Below are 26,200 nucleotides of genomic sequence, written 5' to 3'. Positions count from 1 at the left end.
TGTTTCTCCTAGGCACAGTAGCATGCTAGGGGCTGCTTTTTAAACAGTAAGTAGTTCTCTGATGCAGAAGTCATAGTCTTACCCCAGAACCCTAGGATTTTGCACGCTGACTGTCCTATGAGGACTCACCTGAGACTCCACATAGCATCTATACCCACCTTGGACATCACCAGCACCATGGAGTCTGCTGGCTATATGGCCAAAGAGGCCAGGCCCTTATACCATAGACTGGACCTACTGCAGAGGCCTCCCTTGCTCTGGCCTGATTAAAAACCACCAGCCTCCTGAGGACCCAATAAACGAGTCTGAGCAGCATTCCCCAATGTGGTGTACACTTCCTTGCCTCCAAATTCCAAAGAAACCCATCAAGGGCTGCTGTCTTAGTGGTAGGGGTTTGAGCTGCAACACCTTTCCAGCATTTCCTAGAGCACCGGATCCCTGAATCTTCATGGAATTTACCATGCACTCTCTGCCATTAGTGCCTAGGGAAAGTTGAGAGGGAGAAGCCTGGGAGGCAGGCTGGTGCCAGGTCAGAGAAGCATCGAATGTCCTATTAAGGCGCTCAGCAATGGGGCCCAGGGGAAACAACAGGACTAAAGAACTGCTCTGGGGCAAGCAGCATACTTTTCTCTTCACATCTCATATAATCCTCCACATCCCTACAGAGGAGGAAACTGAGGCTCCAAGAGACCAACTAGCTTAGGTAAGATAATAGCTAAGGGCTGGAGGCAGCACTGGTACCAGGAACAGGGCTGGTTTCATGGATGTTCTGCCCGTGTAGTCACAGAGGACCTTGTTGCTCAGAAGGGTCCTACATTTGGTTTAGTGCTCCGCTGTTACCATCTTGAAATTCTTAATGATTTTTTGAACAAGCAGTTTATGTTTTTACTTTGCACTGAGCTCCACGATGATGCAGCCAGTTCTGCCCAGAAGTGACTCATTCTGAGACATGAGAGAGAAGCCTGTGGTCAGGAGCATGGGATTTGGATGCAAATAGACTTGTGAAAGAATCATGGTTCTTCCAGTTGGACCCAACCACTTCACCTCTCTAAGCCTCAGTTTCTTAATCTGTGAAACAGGGCTAGTTTTGATACTTGCATCATAGGGTTGCTGTGTGGGTTAAATGAAGCAATGTGGGTAAAGCATTCAGAATCATACCTGCACAGGTGAGTGTTTAACGTGTTGGCCATTGTGGTTGACCTGGATCTCCTAGGACTACGATATTTTTACAGCACATCCCGCCTCAGTATTTGCACCTTGTGGCTAATGAATACTTCCATGACAAGCACTCCCTGACTGAAATCCGAGACAGTCTTCTGGACTTGCTTGGAGATGTGTTCTTTGTGGTCCCTGCACTGATCACAGCTCGATATCACAGAGGTGAGTATCTGAGCATCCCGCTCCAGGACCATAGCCCAGTGAGGCTGGTGGCCACGGAAATCCATATTGTCTACTGAGCGGCTGCCTTCTCTGCCTCTGTTCTATCATGGAAAGTGCATTTCCAGGTGTGCCTGGATGGAAACATGCCATGGGGACCTGCGTCATTCACCTGCCTTTCAGAGTTTGGGGATGTTGATCAGTTGTTTCTGTTTCTTCCCCTTCTTCAGGACCATGTATAAAATTCTCATCTCCCTATAATTTTCTGGGCGCCATCCCCAAGGATTTTTTCTTTCTAGAAATGTCTTCCCCAACATCTTAGCCATACGTAGTAATGGAACAAACATTACAGCTATAAGGAGTAATGGAACTCCTAAAGTAATCGACTTTAAATCAACTATTTTAAATGCAGCCAAATACTCCACCCCATAACATTAGATTCCACATTCTTCTCAAGTGCACATGCAACATCTTCCAGAATAAACCATATGTTAGATCACCAAACAAATCCCAATGAATGTAAAAGGATGGAAATCATGCAGAGTATCTTCTTCGACCACAAGGCAATGAAATTAGAAATCAATAACAAAAGGAAATCTGGAAAATTCACAAATATTTATAAATGAAATGGCATACTCTTTTTTACATTTTAAAAATTGTAGTTAAATATGCTTAATAAAAAATTTACCATTTTAACCATTTTAAGTGTATAGTTCAATGGTATCAAGTACATTCATATTGTTGTACAACCATCACCGCTATACATCTTCAGAACGTTTTTATCATCCCAAACTGAAAATCAGTACCTATTAAAAATAACTCCCCACCCTTCCTTCCCCCAGACCCCAATAACCACCATTCTACTTTCTGTCTCTATGACTGACTTTTTAGTTACTTTAGTGACTTTAGTTACTCAATGTAAGTTGAATCATTCAATATTTGTCCTTTTGTCTGGCTTATTTCACGTAGCATAAGGTCTCAGGATTCCTATATGCTGTACTATACATCAGAATTTCCTCCTTTTTTAAGGCTGACTAATGTTCCATTGTATGTATATATCACATTTTGTGTATCCATTTATTCATTAATGGACATTTGCGTTGTTTCCACCATTCAGCTATTGTGCAAGGAACAATTGGCTATTGGCTACATTTGCCTATTGGCTATAATGCTGCAATGAACATAGTTGTAGAAATATCTGTTCAAGTCCCTGTTTTCAGTTATTTGAGGTATATGCCAGAGGTAGAATTTCTGGATCATCTGTAATGCTATGTTTAATTTCTTTGAAGAACTGTCATGTTGTTCTCCACTGTGTCTGCACCATTTTACATTACTACCAGCAATGCACAAGGGGTGCAATTTCTCGACATCTTGACCAACATTTGTTATTTTCTTCTGTTGTTGTTTTTTAAATAATGACTATTCTAATGGGTTTGAAGTAGTATCTCATTATGGTTTTCATTTCCATTTTCCTAATTATTAGAGATGTTGAGCATCTTTTCATGTGCTTATTGGACATTTGTATATATGTTTTTGGAGAAACGTTTAAGACCCTTGCCCATTTTTGAATTGAGTTGTTTTTTGTTGCTGAGTTTTAAGAGTTCCTTATATATTGTGGAAATTAATCCCTTATGAGATATATGACTTGCAAATATTTTCTCCCATTCTGTGGGTTGCCGGGTTGCCTTCTTACTCTGTTGATAATGTACAAAAGTTGCACAGTAGTTTTTAATTTTGATGAAATAGAATTCATTCACTTTTTTGTTGGTTGTGGTTTTGGTGTCATATATAAGAATCCACTGCCAAATTCAAGGGTATGGAAATTTACCACTATATTTTCTTATAAGAGGTTTACAGTTTTAGTTTTACATTTAGGTCTTTGATCCATTTTGAGTTAGTTTTTCTATATACTATGAGGGAAGAATCTACCTTTATTCTTTTGCATGTGTCATATACTAGGGTGGCTATAATTTTTTTAAAAAGAAAAGGAGTAAGAACAAGTGTGAAGGACATAGAGAAACCAAAACTCTCATACACTGCTGCTGGGGACATAAAACAGTGCAGCCACTGTGGAAAAAAGTTGTGGCCGTTCCTCAAAAAGGTAAACGTAGAGTTTCCATATAACCTAGCAAATCCAGTCCTAGGGATATACTCAAGATAATTGAAAACTGACGTTCAAACAAAAATTGTATATGAATGTTCATAGCACTCTTGTTCATTATAGGTCAAAATGGTTAAAACCCAAATGTTCATCAACTGATGAATCGATAAACAAAATTCAGTATATACTTACAATGGATTATCATTTTGCCATAAAAAGAAATGAAATACGGACGGATGCTACAACACAGATGAGCCTTGTAAACATTTTGCTAAGTGAAAGAAGTCAGGCACAAAGGGCCACATGTTGTATGATCCCATTTATACGAAATGTTCAGATTAGGCAAAGCCATAGACACAGAAAGTAGAATTGTGTTTTCCAGAAGCTGAGAAGTGGGGCCAATGGGGAGTGTCTGCTAAATGGGTCTGAGGTTTCTGTTTGGGGTGATGAAAAGGTTCTGGACCTAAATAGTGGTGATAGTTGCACAACATCCTAAATGTACTAAAAACCGCTGAATTATATACTTTAAAATGGTTCAAGGGGCAGATTTCACTTATGTACATTTTGCTTTAAAAATATTGTTAAGAAAATGAGAAGGCAGACCACAGACTGGAAGAAAATATTCATAGTACAATTATTTGACAAAATAATCATATCCAGAATAGAAGAACCCTTACAGTTCAGTAATGAAAAGAAAGTATTTTCCAATAATGGGTAAAAGACTTGAACTTTGAGAGAAAGTCCCAACAAAGTAGATCTTGGCTGAATATAGAGGACTTCTTTTGAGAAGCAGAACTACTGCCTTCTCAGACGTGAGCTCTTCATCACTAGGGATATGAGCACTGCTGTAGCAGGAAATTCCAGCCTCAAATGAGGAAGGGGGAAGTGAGCTGTCTCTGAGCTGTCCCACCCCTGGGTCTATACATCCAAGACTTGATAGGTGGGGACACAGAGCCAGCCCCCTGCTCCGCGCTGCATGCATGCCTGACCTTCCCTGACCTTTTGTCAGATGCTGGTGCACCTGTCTACTTCTATGAGTTTCGGCACCGGCCTCAGTGCTTTGAAGACACGAAGCCAGCTTTTGTCAAAGCCGACCACGCTGATGAAGTCCGCTTTGTGTTCGGTGGTGCCTTCCTGAAGGGGGACATTGTTATGTTCGGTAAGGGACTGGCCACTTCCCACAGTTCACATGAAGCCCCTTGCTTACCCCACCACGATGCAAGCGCCTGGAGGACTTCGGGGTTGGCATTTAATTACCTCTGTGGTTTATAGGCGGACACAACCTTTCTCTGGAAAATGCCCTCCCTTCCATTTTTAGAAGCCAGGATGAAAAAGTGCCATGACAGTTGCTTGATGAGGGCTTCTCTTTGTACTGAAACCTACAGGTTTGGCCACTTCAGGGCACTCAAGCAATCTAAATATTTTTTTTTTTAATATACTAGAACCATTTTCTTCCTTTTCTTTGACCACTGGTCTTACCCTCCCTCCCCTTCCCAGAAATCCCATGAGGCCACAACCTGAGGCTTTAAGAGGCAAGGACCATGTTTTTCATAATTCCAGCTCAAAGTGGTCTGCACCCAGAAGAGCTTTGTAAATGCTTGTGAAATGTTACTTGTGATGTTAGCTCATTTATTCTTAAGTTTATGACATATTTGGTGCCTAAAATAAACCAATCAGATGAGGTTATCAATAGAAAAAAATTACAGGGAAGATTACACACAGGAGTTATCACTAAAATATTTAGTTAGAAACATTACACAATGCAGGCTCTTAACTTATTCACACTGGCCTCTTGACAAAGAGGACAGAACGTTCCATATAGAGTGTATTTGTGCACTGTGGGTTATTCATTATTTCAGTTTTTCATCCTCACAACACAGATAATAAAGAACTTCCTCCTAGGTTGTCATAAGGATTAAATAAAATAAGCCCCATAAAGTAAGAGTGAATACCTAATAAACGTCACTGTTATTTCTCAGCAACCATTCCTGAGCCCATACTATGTAATGGCACATGGACTCCCTAAACTGGAAAAAGTCAACAACATATGTATCAAAAGGTTAAATTCCTTGATGTCTGAAGAGCTCCTAAAATTAATAAGAAAAGAATAACCTAATTGAAAACTGGGTAACAGATAGAAACAGATAGTTCACGGAAAAGAAAACACAAGTGGCTTCTAAACATACGAACATCCACTCAACCTCCCTCATAACAAGAAAACTGCAGACCATCCTTAGCAAGGAATTATTTTTCATCAATCAAGGTTGAAAAAAACAAAACACTTAAAATAATGTATTCAAGCAGGTGTGAGAAACAATTTTATACATTAATAGAGAAGTCTATCAACATTTAAAATGCATGTAAGGCCGGGCATGGTGGCTCACACCTGTAATCCCAGCACTTTGGGAGTCTGAGGCGGGAGGATTGCTTGAGTCCAGGAGTTCCAGACCAGTTTGGGAAACATAGTAAGACCCCCTCTCTACAAAATAATAATAATAATAACAAACAAAATTAGCCAAGCATGGTGGCACACACCTGTAGTCCCAGCTACTCAGGAGGCTGAGGTGGGAGGATCACTTGAGCCCGAGTTCGAGGCTGCAGTGAGCTGTGATCATGGCCCTAAACTCCAGTCTGGGCAACAGAGTGAGACTCCCGTCTCAAAAATTGTTTTTATTTTTACAAAATAAAAAAAAATGTGTGTAGTCTTAGCCAGGTGTGGTGGCTCATGCCTATAATGCCATCACTTTGGGAGGCTGAGGCAGGAAGAATTGCTTGAGCCCAGGAGTTGGAAGCTGCGGTGAGCTATGATCATGCCACTGCACTCCAGCCTGGGTGACAGAGTGAGACCCCATCTTTATAAAAATAAATAACATAGATTAAAATGCATGTAGTTTTTAGCCTGGCAATTCTACTTCTAGTGTTTTTGTGTAATTATACTTCCACATGTGCAAAAGTATATATGCACACTAAAATATTACTTTTACCAGCAAAAGATCGGAAATATGACATATACATTATATATTTATATATGATTGCATATAAATGTTTTTGTATATTACATGCTCATAGAACAACAAATGGCAGTTTGATAAGTGACAAGTCCTATATATGAGATCAATTTTAATAAAAAGAGCAATATGTAGAATACGTGTCCAGTCTCCTGCCAGATGTGTAGAAAGGTGTCCGCTTATACCCTGGTACCTGCAGAGCCTGTCTTTGGGAAAGTGCCTCTGAGGCTCGTCACTGGGCATCTGCAGGGAAGAGATGAAAGGGAAACATTTTCATTGGATATTAGATCTCTTTCTGCATTTTGGATTTTCTACTTTTTATTAAAGAAATACAAAAATTAATTGTAAAAATGTGTGTGGGAGGAGAGAGGCAGAGGGAGAGAGAGAAGGAAAAGAGAGAGAAGCAAGAGAGAGGGAAGACAGGGAGAGAAGGAACAGAGAGAGGGAAGAAAGAGAGAAGGGAGAGAGAGAGGGAGAAAGAAGGAAGAGAGAGAGGGAAGGAAGAGAGAGGGGAGAGAGAGGGAGAGAGAGAAGAAAAAGAGGGAAGAGAGATGGAAGGGAGAGATAGGGAGAGAGAAGGAAGAGAGGATGGAGAGAAGGAAGAGAGACAGAGGAGAAAACAGAGACAGAGAGAGGGAGCAAGCTGGTCTGTGTCCCCAGGGAACCTGCAGCCTCATGGGACTGGCTGCAGGAACACGGGGTGGACAGGGAAGATGTGTGTTCAGCTTCCACCATTCGGAAGCCACAGTTCCTTGGACAGGTCCCGGTTGCTCTGAGCCTCAGTATCTGCATGTATAAAATGGGTACAGTGACTTGGTAGGCTTGTAAGTTTACAGTGGGAGGAGGGGTGTGAAAAGGATTAATCAAATACAAGGCACCCGGGGCTTCCCGAGCCTCACCCAGAGCAGCAGCATTTTGTGATTATCTCCTTCAGAAGGAGCCACGGAGGAGGAGAAGTTACTGAGCCGGAAGATGATGAAATACTGGGCTACCTTTGCTCGAACCGGGTAAGTAAACCTCCCGGTCTCCCCCATGCCAAGGCCTGGGGTGTGAGGAGGAAAATCTCACCCCTGTTTCTGCTCTCCCTTCTAGGAATCCTAATGGGAACGACCTGTCTCTGTGGCCAGCTTATAATCTGACTGAGCAGTACCTCCAGCTGGACTTGAACATGAGCCTCGGACAGAGACTCAAAGAACCGCGGGTGGATTTTTGGACCAGCACCATCCCCCTGATCCTGTCTGCCTCCGACATGCTCCACAGTCCTCTTTCTTCCTTAACTTTCCTCTCTCTCCTCCAGCCTTTCTTTTTCTTTTGTGCTCCTTGAGAAGTTATCTTTCTGTGATTTTGGTTTCCCTTCTCCTCCCATAATTTCTCCCGCAATCATTAGCTTCTTTCTGAGCTCAGCTGCTTTCTATGGGGATCCTTGCAAAACAAGCTGCTTTCGCTGATATTTTATGGACTTAGGAATGATCCTTACAGAATTCTTTTCAACATCAAAAAGTGCAATTTGTCTTGGAAGGCAACAAGATTTCTTCAATAAATTTGGAAGAGGGCTGGCCTATTAGTTGTCATAATAATGGTTTTGTAACTCATATGAAATAAAATCAGAATGTAAAATAGGTATACGGGGGCAGAATTTAATTCTGTGCTGATAACACTCCCCATGCCCCCAGCACCCACTTTCTATCAGAGAAGGTGTCTGTGTATGTTACCCAAAATGCAAGTCCCCCAACCCCAACCCATTGGGGCTTCAGCCGCAAGCCAAGTATGGATGTCTTGGATGTCATGGGTTTGAGCTGGGTCTCTTCTCTGGCTCAGAGAGATGTGTGGGTGACGGGGTATCCTCAGCCATGGAAAGCTGCCATCATCCAGAATAAAAAACCTAGAAGTCAAATTCTAGGCATCAAGGGTCGGATCAGCAATGCCAAGAAGAAATGAAGCTTCCCTGGTGGGGTCGAGATGAATCTGTCATTCAATAAATCTACACTGGCTGGGCAGGGTGGCTCATGGCTGTAATCCCAGCAGTTTGGGAGGCTGAGGCAGGTGGATCACTTAAGGTCAGGAGTTCAAGACCAGCTTGGCCAACATGGTGAAACCCCGTCTCTACTAAAAAAATACAAAAATTAGCCGGTCTTGGTGGCGTGTGCCTGTAGTCCCAGCTACTCGGGAGGCTGAGGTGGGATAATCACTTGAACCCGGGAGGTGGAGGTTGCAGGCAGCAGAGGCCACACCATTGTACTCCAGACTGGGTGACAGAGCGAGAATCCTTCTCAGAAAAAAAAATAAGATAAGATAATAATAATAAAAACATAAAAAATAAATCGACACTGAGCGTCTGATATATACCAGGCGTATCCCCACTAGGGATATAGCAGTGAACAAAACATGGCTGCTACCAAAGAGTGAGCAAACAGACATTAAGCAAACATTCACGCCAGTGGATATCTCATACTGTAACTTTGATAGGTGTTACTCAGGAGAATAAGGTGTTTTCAAGAAAGTGTAACGGAGGGAACCTAAGTGAGATTAAAGTCTTAGGAGGCTCTCTCTGGAGAAATAGCATTTACATTAAGAAAGGACAAATCAAAGTTAGTCACAGGGTAGGGAGAATGTTAAATACCATCATTCAAAGGATGCACTCTTACTTTGTATAGCCACATAATCCATATTATATCCATATAATTCACCAGGGTAATTAGTTTTTCTTCGTGATTGCTTCAAGATTACATAAGATGCATACAATAGGAGGGTTTCTGAGATGCCAGTAACTCATCTGGGTGAGAGATCTCCAACTCAGTGCCCGAATCAGACCCCCTGAAGTGTTTTGTTTGGCCCACACAACGTTAAACATGTTTTGGAATTTGTTGCCAGCAAATTTTAAATTAGGAAAATTTCACATTAAATGCCATATTTCCAGCTTCTTCAGGAAACAACAATAACAAGAAAACCCAGAAGATACTGTTACCGAGCTGCATTCCCACATGATAACCAGCACTTCTGGCGGTCCATACAACCTTTTATGCAAATTACAAGGTGCCCCTTCCTCAAAACCTTCTACAGACATCTTCCATGAAACTGCCATGGATAAATATCTGCATTTATGATGCAAATGACACCTTCTCTAAAGTGTTACCCTTCTGCAGTGCACTACCTGTGCAACTGTCCTCAGCAAAGATAGAGTAATCTGCAGGAACTGAGAGGTGGCTGCCCCCTTTGCAGAGGCCTAAGTTCTCAACGTGCCACAGTCCACACCATACCCCTTTGTGCTGTGCCTGGTCTATTTTACTCACTGATATTACCCAACCTCTGAAGGTGTTTAAGTTTGGACCCTTGACCTCTCATTTCATAGTGAACCTCAGAGAGGTGAAACGATTCACCCAAGATCACTCAGCAAGTATGCAGTGTGAGCAAGTTAGCAGTAAGTCAAAACCAGGCCTTAAGGCTCTTGTCACTTCAGAGCAGGACTCTTACTGCCATGCAGCTACCTCTCTCATCAGATGGTCCAAAGCATTCGGTTGTCTCTGGATTAGGTGGTTGTGGGAGGGGTGGATCAGAGATGCTCTGGGCCACTTTATGGCTCTAGGCCGTGAAAGCAAGCTGGAAACTGAATTGCCTCTGCAGCTGCAGAAGACTAATTTCTATATTGATATTTGGAAAAACTAACAGCTAGAAAACACCACTCAACTCATTTTTAAAAATACGATCATATTAAATGACATTACACGCATCATTTATATATTGCTCGCAGTGCCAGCATCCTCAAATGTGTTTCTAATTTTGGTAGATATCTTGCTAGGGGGAGCACATTTCTAAGTTATCCAGATATAGGGCCCTCTTTCCTTCTCTTTCTGTCCACATGCAATCAGATGCTTTGTGGAGTTAAAGTTGACATTTATTTAAATGCCACTTTGTGTCTGTTTTTTTCCCCTTTAATTTAGAGTTTTCTATCTGGAATGTAAGTAAAATAATCACTTGGAGGGTTTTTCTAAAATACCAATGGCCAGGCCACTAGCCAGTCAATCGGAAGCAAAATCTCCTTGGATGGGACCTAGAAGTATTTTCAGTTTTCTGGCATTTTAATGAACACCCCGATTAAGAACCACTGGGTCTTAAGAGTGTGGCATATGTATTTTTCAAGTTCCTAGAGGCTCTCCAAAACAACAAAAAAATCTGCTTTATTTTCTGCCTGGTGTTGACGTGTCACAGTTTCTTTAGCCACTAGTCTTATCCTGGATATTTATGGTCATAATTTGATGAGCAACATTGGGAATGACTTCTTTTTTTTTGTTTTGTTTTGAGACAGAGTCTCACTCTTTCACCCAGGCTGGAGTGTAGTGGCGCGATCTCTGCCCACTGCAACCTCCACCCCAGTATTTTTACTTTTAAATATTATTTATGGCATCTAGATTTGCATAAGATGGACTGGGTCAACGGCCATGCCCTTTATAAGTCAATATTTTTGAGTTCTACAAATTCACTTTCCTAAAGCGCCAAATCACATCCTACTCACCAGCAAGACAGGTACACATCATTTTCACAATCACTTCTAATTTTCCACCATTGTAAAAAAAATAAAATATTTAACCACTTTCTTATTGTAAAATAAACAATTTACTTTTCCAGGACCCACTGCCTCCCCCTCCCCACTCTCCCCTTTTTTTTAAACAATCTTGAACCCTATCCATTAAATTAAATCAAAGCAAAACTTTAGGGACAAACTACGTCGGTCTTCACCTGTGAATTTCCTGATGTCCAGTAGAGGGCAGCATTATCACAAAGGAAAAACGCTTCCCTCTATTCTGAGGCTCCTGAGATGCTGGTGGTGTGACATCGCAGAACTTGGACTGACAATAAGACCATGCCAAATAGTTAAATTATATACAAGCCAATACAATATAGTGTTATCCATTCCATCTGTAACATTTGGAAAGAGGAAAAGGCAGAATCCACTCCCTGAAAAGTCTGACTGAAAAGACTAAACTCACTAGCAGAACAGAGGTTGGAGCCAGCAGTTTTTCCCTTTTCCACCTCCTGGACTTTCCCATTAAGTCTCCAGGAGCCTACCTCAGAGGGACATAAGGGATTTCCTCTCCTTGGACCAACTCAGTCCAGATTCCCCCAGGGCAGAGCTGCAGGGGAGGGTGGGAAGCGGGCTCAGGCCCTGCACCTGGGTAGCTGCCCCACCTGGTGCTGCCCCAGGTAGCGCATCTACAAGATGAGCCTCCCTTCCCCCAGCAGGGACAGATCCCACTCAGTCCTGCCCCGTATGCTCTGCTAAAAGTTCGTATTGAGAGTGTGCCTCATTATTCCCAAGGACGGGAAGGGCTGGGGAGAAAAAAACCTACCTTGCCGCTTGATTGTCTCAAAATACAAGGAAATTCATTGCAAAGAGCTCGCTGTGCTCCATGAATGGGGTGGAGCTCAAGTCTGAAATTAAAGGATGGGTAGGAAGGGGGATGGCCAGCCACAGCATGGCGGAAGTGTGACCCTGAGCAGTGGTGGCAAGGGGGCCAGCCCACGGGCAGCAGGGCTGGTGTTGGCAAGGTTGCTGGAGCACACTGTGGGTGCCTGGAGGACAGCTTTTCTACCTTGACCTTTAGGAAACAGACTTCTCTCTTTATCGGAAGATAATGCCATAAAATATCTATCTATCTATCTGTCTGTCTGTCTGTCTGTCTGTCTGTCTGTCTGTCTATCTACCTATCTACCTACCTACCTATTATCTATCATCTATCAATTATCTATGATCTATCTATTATCTATCTAATCTATTTATTTCATTTATTACATTTATTTATGTAATTGTGTTTCAAGCTCTATTCACCTCCTGAACTTTTCATATGAGAGAACAGAACTCTGGCTGATACCTTCGGTATTTTTAGAAGGATTGGTACACTTTGATTGTTATTTATCACTATATAAGTCCTCCATTAGTTTCACTGCATGCAACAATTGAGTTATAGAAGCACATTTCTGAAAATAAGTTATTCAATGGGAAAAATGGACTGTTGATGGCCAATTAGTAATATGAAGGCAAGGACAAACTTGTCCACCATCATGAGAGCTTGTTTGGTGGCCAGGCATTGACTTCATCAAGAGTCATCATTACTGCAGCCATTACATGAGCTTTGGGAAACTTCTTCCTTTTGACACTCAGATCTCTGGACAGAAATCATCTTATGTTGACATCTGGCAAGGCCCTTCCGATATTCTGTTGTAATTAGGTGGTTGGAGTTCCTGGGGTCAGCCCAGTTCTAGGAGTGGCAGAGGCAAAGAGCCTCCAGGAAACTTTGGCCTTGGGGTGGAGCTCAAAGGGGAGAGGTGCACTCCCCATGGGCATAAATGGGGGTTACCTACACCCCAACTTCTACAGGCATCCAATACCCCTAAACCCAGAGAGTCTTTTCTGTCTCTATTCTGATTGCATAGGTGCATGGTGGTGTCTTTCTTTCCAGGAGTTAACGTCTCCTTTTTCTGTTCTAAAACTAGTTATCGTCATTCTGTTGGCCTCTCAGTGTCCAAAATGCTGTCATTTCTTCTTTCACAGTTTGTCAGTGTGGGTTTGTAGCTTTAAAAACTTTATTTCACTGTTTTTTTTTAGGATAATTGGAGGGGGGAAATAAAAAATTTTGGATCCCTCTTCTTTCACAGGAAGTGGTAAACCGTTTTTCCTTTACACAAACATTTAAAAACAATTTTTTCTACCTTTCTGACAGCTACATTGCATCCCATAGTATAATACTCAATAAATTATTTAACTGTCTACTATTGTTAGCCATTCGAATGATTTCCTATTTTGTACCATTGTCAACTTCACTGAGGTGACCACCTGATACATATATCTTTGGGCTCATTCAGAATTATTCCTAGAGAATAGTGCTTTAAAATAAAGGTTTTATCATTATTTAGGTATGGCAGGCCCACCAATCAGATGTCAGCCATTGAAAAAGCAATTTGGGCTGGGCATGCTGGCCCACATCTATAATCCCAGCACTTTGGGAGGCCAAGGTGGATGGATTACCTGAGGTCAGGAGTTCGAGACCAGCCTGACCAACATGGTGAAACCCTGTCTCTACTAAAAATACCAAAAAAAAAAAAAAATAGCTGGTGGTGGGTGCCTATAATCCCAGCTACTCGGGAGCCTGAGGAAGGAGAATCACTTGAACCTGGGAGACAGAGGTTGCAGTGAGCCAAGATTGTGCCATTGCACTCCAGGCTGGGCAACAGAGCGAGACTCTGTCTCAAAAAAAAAAAAAAAAAAAAAAAAAGAGAAGAAAGAAAGAAAGAAAAGAAAGAAAGAAAGGATAAGTAGCTTGTTACTCACAGATCCCAAGACAAGACGAGGGGGCACTCCATGCCATGGGAGCAGGAGGCTGCACAGACAACGCTGGAGTCCATCAGAAGGTGGTGGTGATGGGGATGTGGCAAAAGGTGTTCCTGTGGTTTCCCCGGGAAGGAAGAGGTGAGGCAGGGTGAGCAGGTTTAGGAGTGGTTAGTTTGAACAATTTCAGGGGGCTCTGCAGCATTGGGGCTGTTCCATCTGGTACCTAGCTCTGGGGTGATTAGGGTGCGAGGCTATTAGTTCACAGTGGGAGAGCCCATGAAGGAGGTGGTTGGGGATGTGGGCTCTGGATCGGTGAGTTTATGTATGAAAGGCACACTAAGAGACAAGTGGCTTATATCTCTAGCAATTGGCTAACCATGGGAGGAGCAGTCCCTCTAGGAGCAAAGCCCTGCATGTCAAAGTGTCAGAATGGAGAAAATAAAGAACATGGTTAATAAAAAATAGCTGGGGCAAAAGGGATGCCTTTTTGAAATGTTAGGATAGATTTTGCCAAATTGCCCCCAAGGAAGTTTGAACTAAATGATCTCTCACATCAGTGGTGAAAGTTCCTTGTTTTCTATATTGTTGCCACTAGGCACTACCGCCAAAAGAATTGTGGTAAAACTCCTTGCAAATTCAATAAGTGCCATTTGGGTATCTGGTTTGAATTTGCGTGTCTTGGTGTGTGTGCTATTCATCTGGGAAAATGGTATTTTGTGGATGTGAAGACCCCTTGGAACCTGATTGGTGGGATGGAGGGGGATTGTGGACTGTACCCACCCCGATGTGGTCCTGGCCTCCATAGAAGTACAGCTATGTGGGAAGTTTCAGAGGACTGCAACCTTCCCATCTCAGCTGTGACCCAGCCCACGAAGGATTCTAGAGATTTTGTCCCTTGCATGACCTTCTAAAGTGAGAACACAGGGCCAACAGCAGTAGATCCTGAGATTTGGTCAGACCTTTGTGCAGTCCAGCTTTTTGGAGAAGCTTATGTCATTTATGCTTGCTGAGTCCTATGTAAGCCCCAAAGCCAAGCTTTCACAAGCTAGGACTTAGGCACCTTTGAAAAGGAGAAGTTTATCTTCCACCTTCCCGAAGAGTGTGTAGGAGGTTCCCCTTGAGAGTAACCACTGGTCCCTCCAGATGGCTTGGCTGCTTCTGCCAGGCTCTACTTTCAGAAACGCCCTTCATTGTGCAATTCTCAGAATTAAAGCCTTTCAGTGTCTCTTCATTGTCCAGGGATGAAGTCTGTTGTCCTTGGCTTGGCATTGAAGCTCTCTGTCCTCCATTCACCCTTCCATTGCAACTGGCCTCCCCAAGAAGCCCCTGAATCTGCCTTGTTCCAATGCTAATTTCTTCTCTGCCTCCCCAAATTTTGTCCATCTCTCAATACCCGCTACCATCAAGAGTCATCACAGTTATGGGCATTAACATATATGAATATTGATAGTTCTCAGGGCAAGAAAACACACAGAACATGCCTCTCCATGGAGGCCACTCTATTCACCTGGATGTTTATAATGTAATCTATAGTTTGACTTTACAGGGCTCTTTCCAGATTATAATTCAATCTTCACTTTTCTGTGTCTAAATTTTTACATTGCTTTCTGAATCATCTTTTTTCCCATTTTATTCTTAACAGGCTAAAGGAAGGCTTAATAAAGTAGAGCTAATGAATAGGATCTGGGTTTATAATCAGGCTTTTGTGATTTGAATCAAAGAAATGCAAAAACTTCGTGTTTATCAGAGTGTGGTATACTTATTCCTGGAGTTATGCAAGATCATTTTAGATGGCACACAAACTAAAAACCACTTATAGAATGGCTGTTTATTTATTTTGCTGTGTATTAGGGAAAAAACCCTTACTATCAAGTCCATGGTTTAATGGATATTACCTGTGACAAGGATTGCTGGCAGTCTGTTAAAATCTGTCCCACCTTCCTTGGTACACAGCCAGATTACATTTTCCAGCCTTCGTTGCAATTAGATTGAACATGTGAATAAGTTCTCACCAATGTCCTCTGAGTGGGAGTGGAGAGTGCCACAGCCAGGCCTGGCCCATACAAATGCTCCATGGTCACACTTCTGCTCCTACCTCTTCCAGGTGACAGGCAATTGACACCTATGGCAACTTTAGAAACCATGAGTGAAGGAAGGCAAAGCCACCATAGCTTAGATCAGGACTGAGTAAACTACAGCCTGAGGGCCAAATCTGGCCTACTGTCTTTTTAAAAATAAAGTTTTATTGAAGCACAGCCATGCCCATTTGCATAGGTATTGTTTATGGGCCACCTGACTACCACAGCAGTTGCCACAGACAGCCCATGGCCTGCAAAGCCCAAAGTACTTACTATCTGGCCCTTTATAGAGAAAGTTTGCCAATACCCTAATTTCGATCTCTGAATGACCATATGGAGGACAGCCACCTTGTGGACCTGAACAACACTCTAGTCCTTTACGTAATTGAAAAATAAGGCGTTGAAATTCTGGGCCTATTTGCTACCATAGTTTATCCTACTCTCACTAATAATTCTTGCTCAGCAGTCACAGGGTGATTGCCTGATGAATGTACATGGCCCGATTTCCGGTTGTTTGCGCCATTGAGGGTGACTAGTTATGCCCATGGGAGTACAGCTCCTTCCTCTATGACCCACGACCAGGCCAAAATTTCTTCCAGATGCTCTGACCAGTTAGTCCTAGGACCTGATTGACCCCAGGGAGTCTGACCCCTAAGTATAACACAGCATCGTGGTCCTGGGAAGGTGTAAACATAATACAATTTCTGCCCATTGAACCGAATGTTAACAGGAAGACGTTCCCTGAAGCAGAAGAAAATGACCTTGGTGACGATGATCCTTGCCAAAGGTAGGTACCCTTGCCTTGTCACCTACCTGGTGGTCATGACGGCGATCAAGGCTGGCCCTGCTTTCATGTAACTAACTGGCCTTCAATGGTTCACTTTTCCCATTGAGTGACTTTTTTCAGTTATACACTTCTGTAAACCAGAAGTGTTTTTACTGGCTTTTCTTTATGTAAGTTTTTATTTTTACCATCGTTTTAATTTAAAAAATGCAGTCACACATTTTCCATGCATACCTCTAATTTATGGCAGGTTATACAGGTCTTGCAGTTATGGAAATGGTATAAAGTCTCCTTTTTGAGTGAGCATGTTAAAGTAAAAAGAGTGCTTCATTTAAAGAAAACTGTTCATAGAAGTACAGACGATATGCTGATGAGGCAAAAAACCATGATATTAGTGTGAGAATAAGTGAGGTTCCAGAAACACTGCATATGCCCAGGCTGCAGTGGAGAATGTCGTAGAATCCTGGATTCATAGAGTGTGGAGCCACGGTGAAGGGTGCATGAGAGAGCCCCTCCCCCAGAGCCACCCCCTGCCTTTCCACAAGGAATTCCCAAATGTCACCCAGTGGATTCTCAGACTTCTGTCTCCCAGTTCAGTGTTCTCCACCACAAAATCTGCACCTGATCAATCCCATGGTTCAGAGACAAAGCTGAGTGAGGGGCCCAGCAGGACATGGGCTTGCTGTGCCCAATGCCTGCTCTAATACGAGCTTTCCATATATCTGCTGAGTAAACTGATGGAGGTGGAGAGGTTTGGGGGAGTTCATTTGAAGCCCCCAGATATGCTCACTCTCCCAAGTCCTACCCCCTGCTTAGAAGTTAAGGCCAGTTCCTCGGATTTTACTTTCCACATCATATAGTTCCACATGGGAAACCAGAGGGTGTTCCCCAGGGAAAACAATAATATCCCCCCCGCCCCCCACCAACCAACTGCCACTTAAACAAGAGACGTATTGCTTACAGCTGAAGTGTTGCAGGGGAGTTATATGTATTAAGCAAAAATTAGATCTATTGTAAGGCTTGGTAGGCTCCAGCCTCACCCATCACAATCTGCAGAGTCATCATGAAGCAGAAAAAGGTGTCAGAGGCTGCAGCCAGACCCAGGCAAAACCTAGGAGTGGCCAAAAAATTCTGTTTGCACAATTGGCTGGTGTCACAAGCGGGCATGTGATTGAGCAGTGGTTCAGGAGAAGAACTAATCCTTATCTTTTATATTTTGTGAACACAGCACCACAAAATCTTCATAGGCCAAGAGCCAGGGCTGTTTCCCAGGTTGCAAAGGTCAGCTGACTAGGGCAACAGGGCAGGATGGTTAACAGGCACGCGCATGCGTGCACATGTGTGTGTGTGTGTGTGTGTGTTGTGCTGAGTGAGTGGGACTAGCCTTGCTTTCTATTTAGGAGGACCTCCCAATTTGTCCCTTGTGGATAGAGATAGGGATGCTTTTTATTAGCATGCAGTTTATCAGCCAGATTTCTGTCCTGGATAAAAGTAAGGGAGGAACCCTAAAGCTCAGGTCAACCTTTGTAGAGTCAGTTAGCTCTGGGGACTGATTCTCATGCTGTCAGAGCATCCTCATTCCCATCACAGAATGCCCCTCACCAGCCTGCACGTGGCTAGAATGAGTGCTAATGAGCATGCCTTTTTGAATTTGGGTCTCCAGAAGTTTCATTTCAGCTACAACTCATGGCCTTGGGCAAGAATCCATCAGCAGCTCTGGGACTGTCATGTGATTTATGGCTGCTGGTTGCCCAATCTTTCCTGATGTCAATAGTGGTGTGGCCTGGACAAGGGCAGGCTTGCCAAGTGACATTGGGAAAATAGAACATAGCTCCCCAGGTACCTGGTACATGGCTCCCATCTTTGTCCCTTCCTTCCTTCCTTCCTTCCTTCCTTCCTTCCTTCCTTCCTCTCTCTTTCTTTCTTTGTCTCTCTCTGTCTTTCTTCTTCTTCTTCCTCTTCTTCTTTCTTCCCTCCTTCTCCTTCTTCTCCTTCCTCTTTTTCTTCTTCTTCCTTTCTCCTTATTCTTGTAGAGATAGGGTCTTACTATGTTTCCCAGGTTGGTCTTGAACTCCTCTCTCAAGCAATCTTCCCACCTTGGCTTGCCAAAGTGCTAGGATTACCGAGCGGGAAGGGTTGCCACAGTGCCCAGCCTCCCCTGGCTATTTCTATCCCTTCAGCCCTACCATGCTAAGCCTGGGTCAATGAGCTGACAAGGCAATTTGCCTTAGATAAGGCTACTGATTAGAATATCTTCCTGATGTATAAAAGCAAGAGAAATGGCTGCCAGCCACCCTGTGCTGGAAGGCAGAAGCCTCAAGTTCTGGTTCTGACTTTGCCATTGAGTTGCTGTGTGACCTTAGGCAATCCCTCCTCATCTCTGGGCCTTAGTTTCTTTTGGGAATAAATAACGGAATTGAGTTGAGCCTATGTATTAGTCTACTTAGGCTGCCAGAAGAAAATATCACAGACTGGGTGGCTTAAACAACAGAAATCAATTTAAGATCGTGAGACAGCATTAATCTCACGGGGTTATTTTGAGAACTGAGATCCTGCATACAAAACTCTCGGCATAGTGTTTGCCACACAGTAAGCTCTCAGTAAATATTTGTCAATGAATGTATGAAGGAATAAAAGTGGAAAATGCAAATAAGTGAAACACTGACAAGATTACAGCCAGGAAATGGCTGTTGTAATTCTAATTAGATATATAGACTTCCAGTATTTTCCTATGCAAATAAAGACATATGTTACTACCAAAACGGGACCATATTATACCTATCTAGATTTTCAAAAATATTTCATTATTTTATTGAAATATAAGTCACATGTCATAAAGTTTACCTTTTTAAAGTGTACAATCTAGTGGTGTTTAGTATATTCCCAAAGTTGCACTAACATCATCACTATTTAATCCCAGGACATTTTTACCACCCCCAAGATAAAACTCATGCCCATTAGCAGTCACTCCTCATCCCCGTCTCTTTCCCCTTCCCCAGACCCTGTCAAACACTTTCTGTCTCCATGGATTTGACTATTTTGGAAATTACATATAAAAAGCATCATACGACATGTGGCCTTTTGTGGCTGGCTTCTTTCCTTTACCATGATGTTTTCCAGCTTCATCCACGTTGTAGCATGTTCTTCTTATGGCTGGATGATATGCCTCTGCACGCATACACCACACTTCATTTACACATTCATCAGGTCATGGACATGCGGGTTGTGCCCACTTTTTGACTAGGATGAATGACACTGCTCTTTGTGTACAAGCTTTTGTGTGGACATGCTTTCAGTTCTCTTCGGTAGACACCTAGGAGGGGAATTGCTGGGTCATATGGAAACTCTGTGTTGAACTTTTTGAGGAACTGCCTACACCGCACAACAGTTTATAACCTATTATTTTCTCCTTTCACAACGCATCCTGTCTTCATTGTTAATAAATAGCTGTGCACATCACTATTTTGAGTGAATACATCGTATTTCCTTAGCCAGCGGTACCACAGTGTGTTTAGTGAATTCCCTATTGTTGGACATTTAATAATCCCATGAAAGAGGCTTTGAGTGACTTCCTTGTGTCCCCAGCAGCTTGTAAATGACAGTTTTCCAGGTGTGCCCAGAGCACTCTGTATCCCCTTAATTTGGTGATTTCACATTGCCTTGACATCACCCCTACTGCTCCTCCACCCCATCTGTCTTGTCTACAATGGTGAGCCCCTTGAGAAGCTGAACCATGTCTTGAATTGGTCTTTGTATCCATTATACATGGCCAGGTGCCAAGCATTTTGGTAAATGTTCACAAAATGGATGGGTACTTGGATGGATGGATGATAACAGCCAGGGACTATGGGGGGACGGAGTTCATTTTTACATTCTGTCCAAAAATCCCTGCTTTGGAAAGTAGTGAGTTCTCTGACACCGATGGTGTGTGACAGGAGGCTGGACCAGTTGGCAGGATATTGTGAAGCTAATTCAGGCCTCAGAAAGGGGACTCGATGAAATTTAAGATCGCTTCCAAGCTTGAGAGCCTGGAAAGCTATGAAAACACAAGCCCTGGGAGCTGAGATATGTCCTAACTTACCCAGCTGAGCTGTGAGGTGTGAGTGGCTCTAACATTTTCCAGTTGTTTCTGAGGACCTCAGATCAAAGCTTCCCTTTGCCTAAAAGCATCTGCCTGCTGGTGTGGGCCCTTGGGGGCCGTCACAGTGCACTGAGGTTAGAGTCCTGCAAGGGTGAACCCTTATGTAACAAGTAGTTGGGCAAGTTTACAGCTCTCTGTAATCTGACAGTAGAGTCCAGACTGGTTTGATGAAAGAGGGTAAACTGTGGGTGGGCGTGGCCTGAGGCCCCACTAGAAGCCCAGGGAGATCTGAGGAAAGGGAGGGCTTTTCTGATCTCTCCCAATTAGAGGATTAGGCAATTGGCAGCGCAGGGCGGTAACTCTGGGCGGGGCTGGGCTCCAGGGCTGGACAGCACAGTCCCTCTGAACTGCACAGAGACCTCGCAGGCCCCGAGAACTGTCGCCCTTCCACGATGTGGCTCCGTGCCTTTATCCTGGCCACTCTCTCTGCTTCCGCGGCTTGGGGTGAGTCCTTCTGAAATCAAAATGCGGGGCACTTTTTGAAATCCTTGTTCTGGGCCGAGGTGGGCGCAGATGCGTAGAAAGGCAAAGACACAACAGGTCCGGCTCTGCGGCGGGGCACGACTTCCATATTAGGACTTGGACTTGGAGCAGCTGAGCCCGGCCAGCCTGGCCCGCGCGGAGACGCAGGGAGGGTGAACATCCTGAGATCGCCCTGTACTGCTCGCCCAAATGCAGGCCGACAGCCGGCCCACCTCAGGCCGCACACACGAGAAATTTAGGCAGCTCAGTTTGCTGTCCCTTAATTAGTCCCCTTACGGCTGGATCACGGAGAGCGGCTCAACATAATATTAAGAGCATCGACTCTGGAGCCAGAGTGCGTGGGTTCGAGTCCCCGCTGGGCGCTTCCTCGCTGTGTGTCCTTAGGCAAGGGACTGCGCTATTCCGTGCTTGGGTTACCCCCTCTCTGAAACAGAGGTGGCAGTGCTGCCTACCTCACTGGGCTTTGGTGAGGAGGAAATGGGTGGCTGTTTCTAAAGCACTCTTGGCAGCGCCTGGTATGTAGAAAGCACGAAAAAGGGATGGATAAATAAAGGCGCTGTTTAAAAACGTAGTGTATGAATAGAAAATTTGAGCTGTGGTCAGGCCACTATATCAGGACCTCTTGCCATTAAAAAGACAGTTTCTTACTCATGTTCTCAACAGGAGGGGGACACCAGTGCGCGGGGCACAAGGGGAAGCAGCAGAGCCTGGGGAGGGGACAGGGCGGATCTGAGGCCAAGGGGCTTTTACTGTGGCTTCCAAGGATAGAAGAGGAAAGGCAGGGCAGGCAGGCTGAGGACTGGCAAGTTGGGATACTTCAGGGGCTCTGGGGCACAGGGGCTGTTCCTAATTGTTTTGTACCTAGCCCTGGCATGATTAGGGCAGGTGGGTAGTGGCCAGGGCATGGCAACCCGATCAAAGAGGCAGTTGGGGTGTGGGCTCTGGGGTGGCTGGACCCTGGGAGGGAGTTTCTCCAAGGTCAACAAGGCCTCAGATGCCAGAGCATCAGAATACAGAAAGCAAAACACATGGTACATAGAGGGGTGCAGCGAGGGGCCTCGAAATACCCCCATGCCATTTTATAGACAGAGAAACTGAGACTCACACAGGGAAATGTACTTGCCCAGGGTCAACCCGAAAATCACGCCTAGGTCTGTCTCTGGGTCCTGAATCCTGACAGCCCAGCCCCGTCTGCATCCTGTCTTCCTTCTGGCAGCCTGACACTGCGAGAGCTCTGGAACTGTGGGGAAGGGCAGAGAAGAGAGGAAGCCTATTTGGAACTGAATGTTCCTTTACCTCTGGTTACTCCTGGCAATGCCATCCATTTCCTTCCTTAGGAAGACCATACAGGCTGCCTCCACTTCCTCAGTTTCCTCCTCTGTAAAATGGGCATGTTGATGCCTACCCAGCAAGGCTTATTTGAAGATTAATTTAAAAAACTGGAATGCATGCCTGGCACATAGTAGGTGCCCACCATGTTCGTGCTTCATATAACATCAGCAGCAACTGGTCTTGTTCTCACACTTGTTTCTGCCTCCCCCCATTCACCCACTTTTTCACCCTTGGCAATCTGGCTGCCATCCACCTCATCCTGTTGAAGGGAATCCCTGAGCTGAGCATGACCAGCCCAGTGGTTTCTTCTCTGACTTGACTCTCCTCCACCTCCCTGAAGTCCTCAGCACTCTTAGCTGGTTCCTCGCCCTCTTGCTCCCTGGGCTTCAAAGACATGGGAACGTTCTCTCTCCCCTATTCTGATGGATCTTTGGTCTTGGCCGTAGTGGTCCCTGTGTTTGACCTTTGTTTTTTTTTCTCTTCCCTCTCACACTGGCATCTTCAATGAAGCCATACACATCCACCGTATGTACCCTCACAGTCCAGGAGAAGATTCTGCCCTGCTCCCTCACCAGGCTTCCTTCCAGCTTTGAAGTGCGCTCATCCTGTGGCATCATCTTGCCTGGATATCCCACTCACATCTCCACCGAGCCTGTGTAAACAGGGATCCAGCATTACAAGCCAGCTCTTTGGTCTTCTTTCCCTTCCATTTCCCCCACCTCTGGTCAGGGACCAAGTCTTTTCTTTTCCTTTCTTTTCTTTCCCTCCCTCCCTCACTCCCACTTGCCTGCCTGCCTGCCTGCCTGCCTGCCTTCCTTCCTTCCTTCCTTCCTTCCTTCCTTCCTTCCTTCCTTCCTTCTTTCCTTCCTTCCTTCTTTCCTTCCTTCCTTCCATCCTTCCATCTTTCCTTTCCTTCTTTCCTTCTTCTCTCTCTCTGGAGGAGCCAGGATTACAGGCACATGCTACCACACCCAGCTAATTTTTCTATTTTCAGTAGAGAGGGGGTTTCACCATGTTGGCCAGGCTGGTCTTGAACTCCTGACCTCAAATGATCTGCCTGCCTTGGCCTCCCAAAGTGCTGGGATTACAGGTGATCCACTGTGCCTGGTCTCCAAGTCTTTCAAAATACCTTTTAGACATCATCATATTTCTACATATTTTTTCTTTTTTTATTTAAAATTTTAAAATAATTAAGATGGGGGGGAGGATTTCAGGTGAAGACCGGAAATCCCATACAGTGCTGAAAAGGTGGAAATCACCAAGAAAACAGGCCACATGTAATGCCACCACCCATTGCTATGTCGATAAACATGCTTCCAAGGAAGTTCATCTCAGTATTATTTGTAATTAGCAACAACAACAAAAGAAAAGAAGCTAAATATTGACATTGCAGGGTTGGCTATTAATAAGATGAGACATGGATGCTGTTGTGTAACTGGGCTTTCCATAATGGGTTTCCATTGTGATTGGATATTCCCCTTTAAGACCAAATCTGAATTGTTCTGTTCTGCTCTAGCCCCACACTTTGAGGGAGGTGTTGACGTCTTGTCTGTATCCAAAGCAGAGCAGCTGGGAGGACAAGAGGCTGGAAATCATTTCCTAGGAGGGAAGCTCAGAGAAACTGAGGTGACTGGAGCCAGATAGGACCTGAGGGGTGGGCAGCAAGATCAAGTGTCTGAAAGGCCACAGGCTGCAGATCAGATCAGGCCAGTATAGTCCCATGACAGGTAGAACCAGAACTGATGCGGAGGCTGTGGGAAATGAATTTCAGCTCAGTGAGGAAACATTGTCCGTGCTGCAAGAATGGAGCAGACCTGCCCAGGGCCACCAGAAGAATCTTCCTTGACCTGATCACATCCTTTATCTGGAACGGTTCCTGCTGCTTATTTGTCCATTAAAGAAAACTCAAGCGCTTAGCCTGGCATTCTAAGCCCTCCCTGACATGTGCGGTCTCATTCCAGGAATATTTTCCACTCCCCCCAGACTCCACCTGGTGCATGTGGGCCATGCCCCCTTCCCCAGGCAGGCTCTGCATTCTGCTGCTCTGAGCCTCAGCAAATTCCCTTCTCTCTGCTGTGTACCACTCTCTGCTTCTCATCTCCCCTCATTCAGTCCTCCCCTGCCGCAAGTCCCAGCTCCTCCATGATGCCCGCAATCAGAAGGCCTTGCCCCCTCTTCTAATTCCTAGACTGCCTTATGGGTACCTCTCCCAGGACATGGCCACTTCCTTCCCAGCTGTAGCCCCAGGTGTATATGTGACCCTTCCCTATAATGGTCAGTGCTTGTGAGAATATGGGACACCCCTTTTTCATCCTCTCATCCAGCATGCGGCTCAGTGCCAGGATTCTAATGGATAAATGTTTCCAGAGACTTCTAAGGGGGAAGCTAAATGTCTTGTTCTTTCCTAGTAGCTCTCCTTCTTGCATTTATTTTTAGCTGGATGTTTTTATGCCTCCAATTCTAGTTTGCCCATTAAACCAGCTCAATGGGTTAGGGAGGACATTGATCGTCATCCCTATTGTACATCAAGAGAAACTGAGGCCTAGAGGGTTTAGGTGACTTATTTAAGGTCACTCACTTAGAAAGCGGCAAACTCCACCTGGAATCTGGGTCCAGCCTTTTGCCTCTGATGCATCCTGATTTATTCTCCATGTCCAGCAGGGCATCCGTCCTCGCCACCTGTGGTGGACACCGTGCATGGCAAAGTGCTGGGGAAGTTCGTCAGCTTAGAAGGATTTGCACAGCCTGTGGCCATTTTCCTGGGAATCCCTTTTGCCAAGCCGCCTCTTGGACCCCTGAGGTTTACTCCACCGCAGCCTGCAGAACCATGGAGCTTTGTGAAGAATGCCACCTCGTACCCTCCTATGTAAGCTGCGGCATGTGTCCTTGGGGATGTTTACCTCAAAGTGATGCAGGAAGGAGTCAAGGCAGTCCCCTGACGGGCTGATCCTTTGCTCTGGACTCCTTAAGATCTTTGTAGATCCTTAAGAACATTCCAGAACTCTCACAGCATTCTGGAGTCCATTATTTAACACATGTTTATTGAGCACCTGCTGTGTGCCAGGCGTGTTCTGGGTTCTTGGGATCCATTAGTGAAAAAGCAAAGATCCCTAGGTTCCTGGAGCGTGCATTCTAGCAGGGGGAGACAGATAAGAACAATATGCAAATTACTCCGTGGATTATGTGATATGATAGAACAGGAAAAGTGCCTTGGAAACAAAGAAGCAGTTAAGCAGGTGAGGGAGATCAGAAGGAAGGATCCCATGAATTCTGCTGTCTTGAATTTTGACATAGTCGGGGAGAGGAGTGGGCCAGGAGGTGTGTGGGTGGCAAGTGTACTGAGGTGTCCACTCGGCAAGTGCTCAACTCTCAGGTGTGCCTATTCCTGAGGAGAACAATGGAAGGTGTGTCCATTCACCCTGGCCAAGCTGGGAAGAAAAGCCCAAAGGTTCTAATTGGCCTCACCATCACTCCCCAGGGTAGGAAGGACCCTACAGACATCAGAGCAGACCCTGCTCATCTCAGCAGCCAGGTGTTCGGAGGCTTTCCAGCAGCCCACCAGTGGCCGCCTT

General features: G+C 44.6%; 2 protein-coding genes across 7 annotated transcripts in view; both read left to right on the top strand.

Annotated features, from left to right (window-relative positions):
• Window positions 1-8,107, top strand: part of CES5A (carboxylesterase 5A) — a 109,878-nt gene extending 101,771 nt beyond the window's left edge. For 2 of the 3 annotated variants that reach the window (NM_001190158.1, NM_001143685.2), the window contains 4 exons: window positions 1,233-1,380; window positions 4,488-4,637; window positions 7,421-7,493; window positions 7,579-8,107. In NM_001190158.1, coding sequence (NP_001177087.1) covers window positions 1,233-1,380; window positions 4,488-4,637; window positions 7,421-7,493; window positions 7,579-7,810 — 603 coding nt within the window. In that variant the 3' untranslated portion in view covers window positions 7,811-8,107. The remainder of the gene's footprint in view (window positions 1-1,232; window positions 1,381-4,487; window positions 4,638-7,420; window positions 7,494-7,578) is intronic. The other variant, NM_145024.3, reaches the window with a different exon arrangement.
• CES1 (carboxylesterase 1) overlaps window positions 21,165-26,200 on the top strand; it is a 30,246-nt gene continuing 25,210 nt past the window's right edge. For 2 of the 4 annotated variants that reach the window (NM_001266.5, NM_001025194.2), the window contains exons 1-2: window positions 21,165-21,257; window positions 25,290-25,494. In NM_001266.5, the coding sequence (NP_001257.4) occupies window positions 21,206-21,257; window positions 25,290-25,494 (257 nt within the window). In that variant the 5' untranslated portion in view covers window positions 21,165-21,205. Of the gene's footprint in view, window positions 21,258-25,286; window positions 25,495-26,200 lie in introns of all 4 variants that reach the window. The other 2 variants (XM_005255774.3, NM_001025195.2) reach the window with 1 other exon arrangement.

The sequence above is a fragment of the Homo sapiens genome, chromosome 16, assembly GCF_000001405.40.
Source record: "Homo sapiens chromosome 16, GRCh38.p14 Primary Assembly".
NCBI lineage: Eukaryota > Metazoa > Chordata > Mammalia > Primates > Hominidae > Homo > Homo sapiens.
Note: the sequence above shows the minus strand (reverse complement) of the source record. Positions and strands in the feature narration are given on the sequence as shown.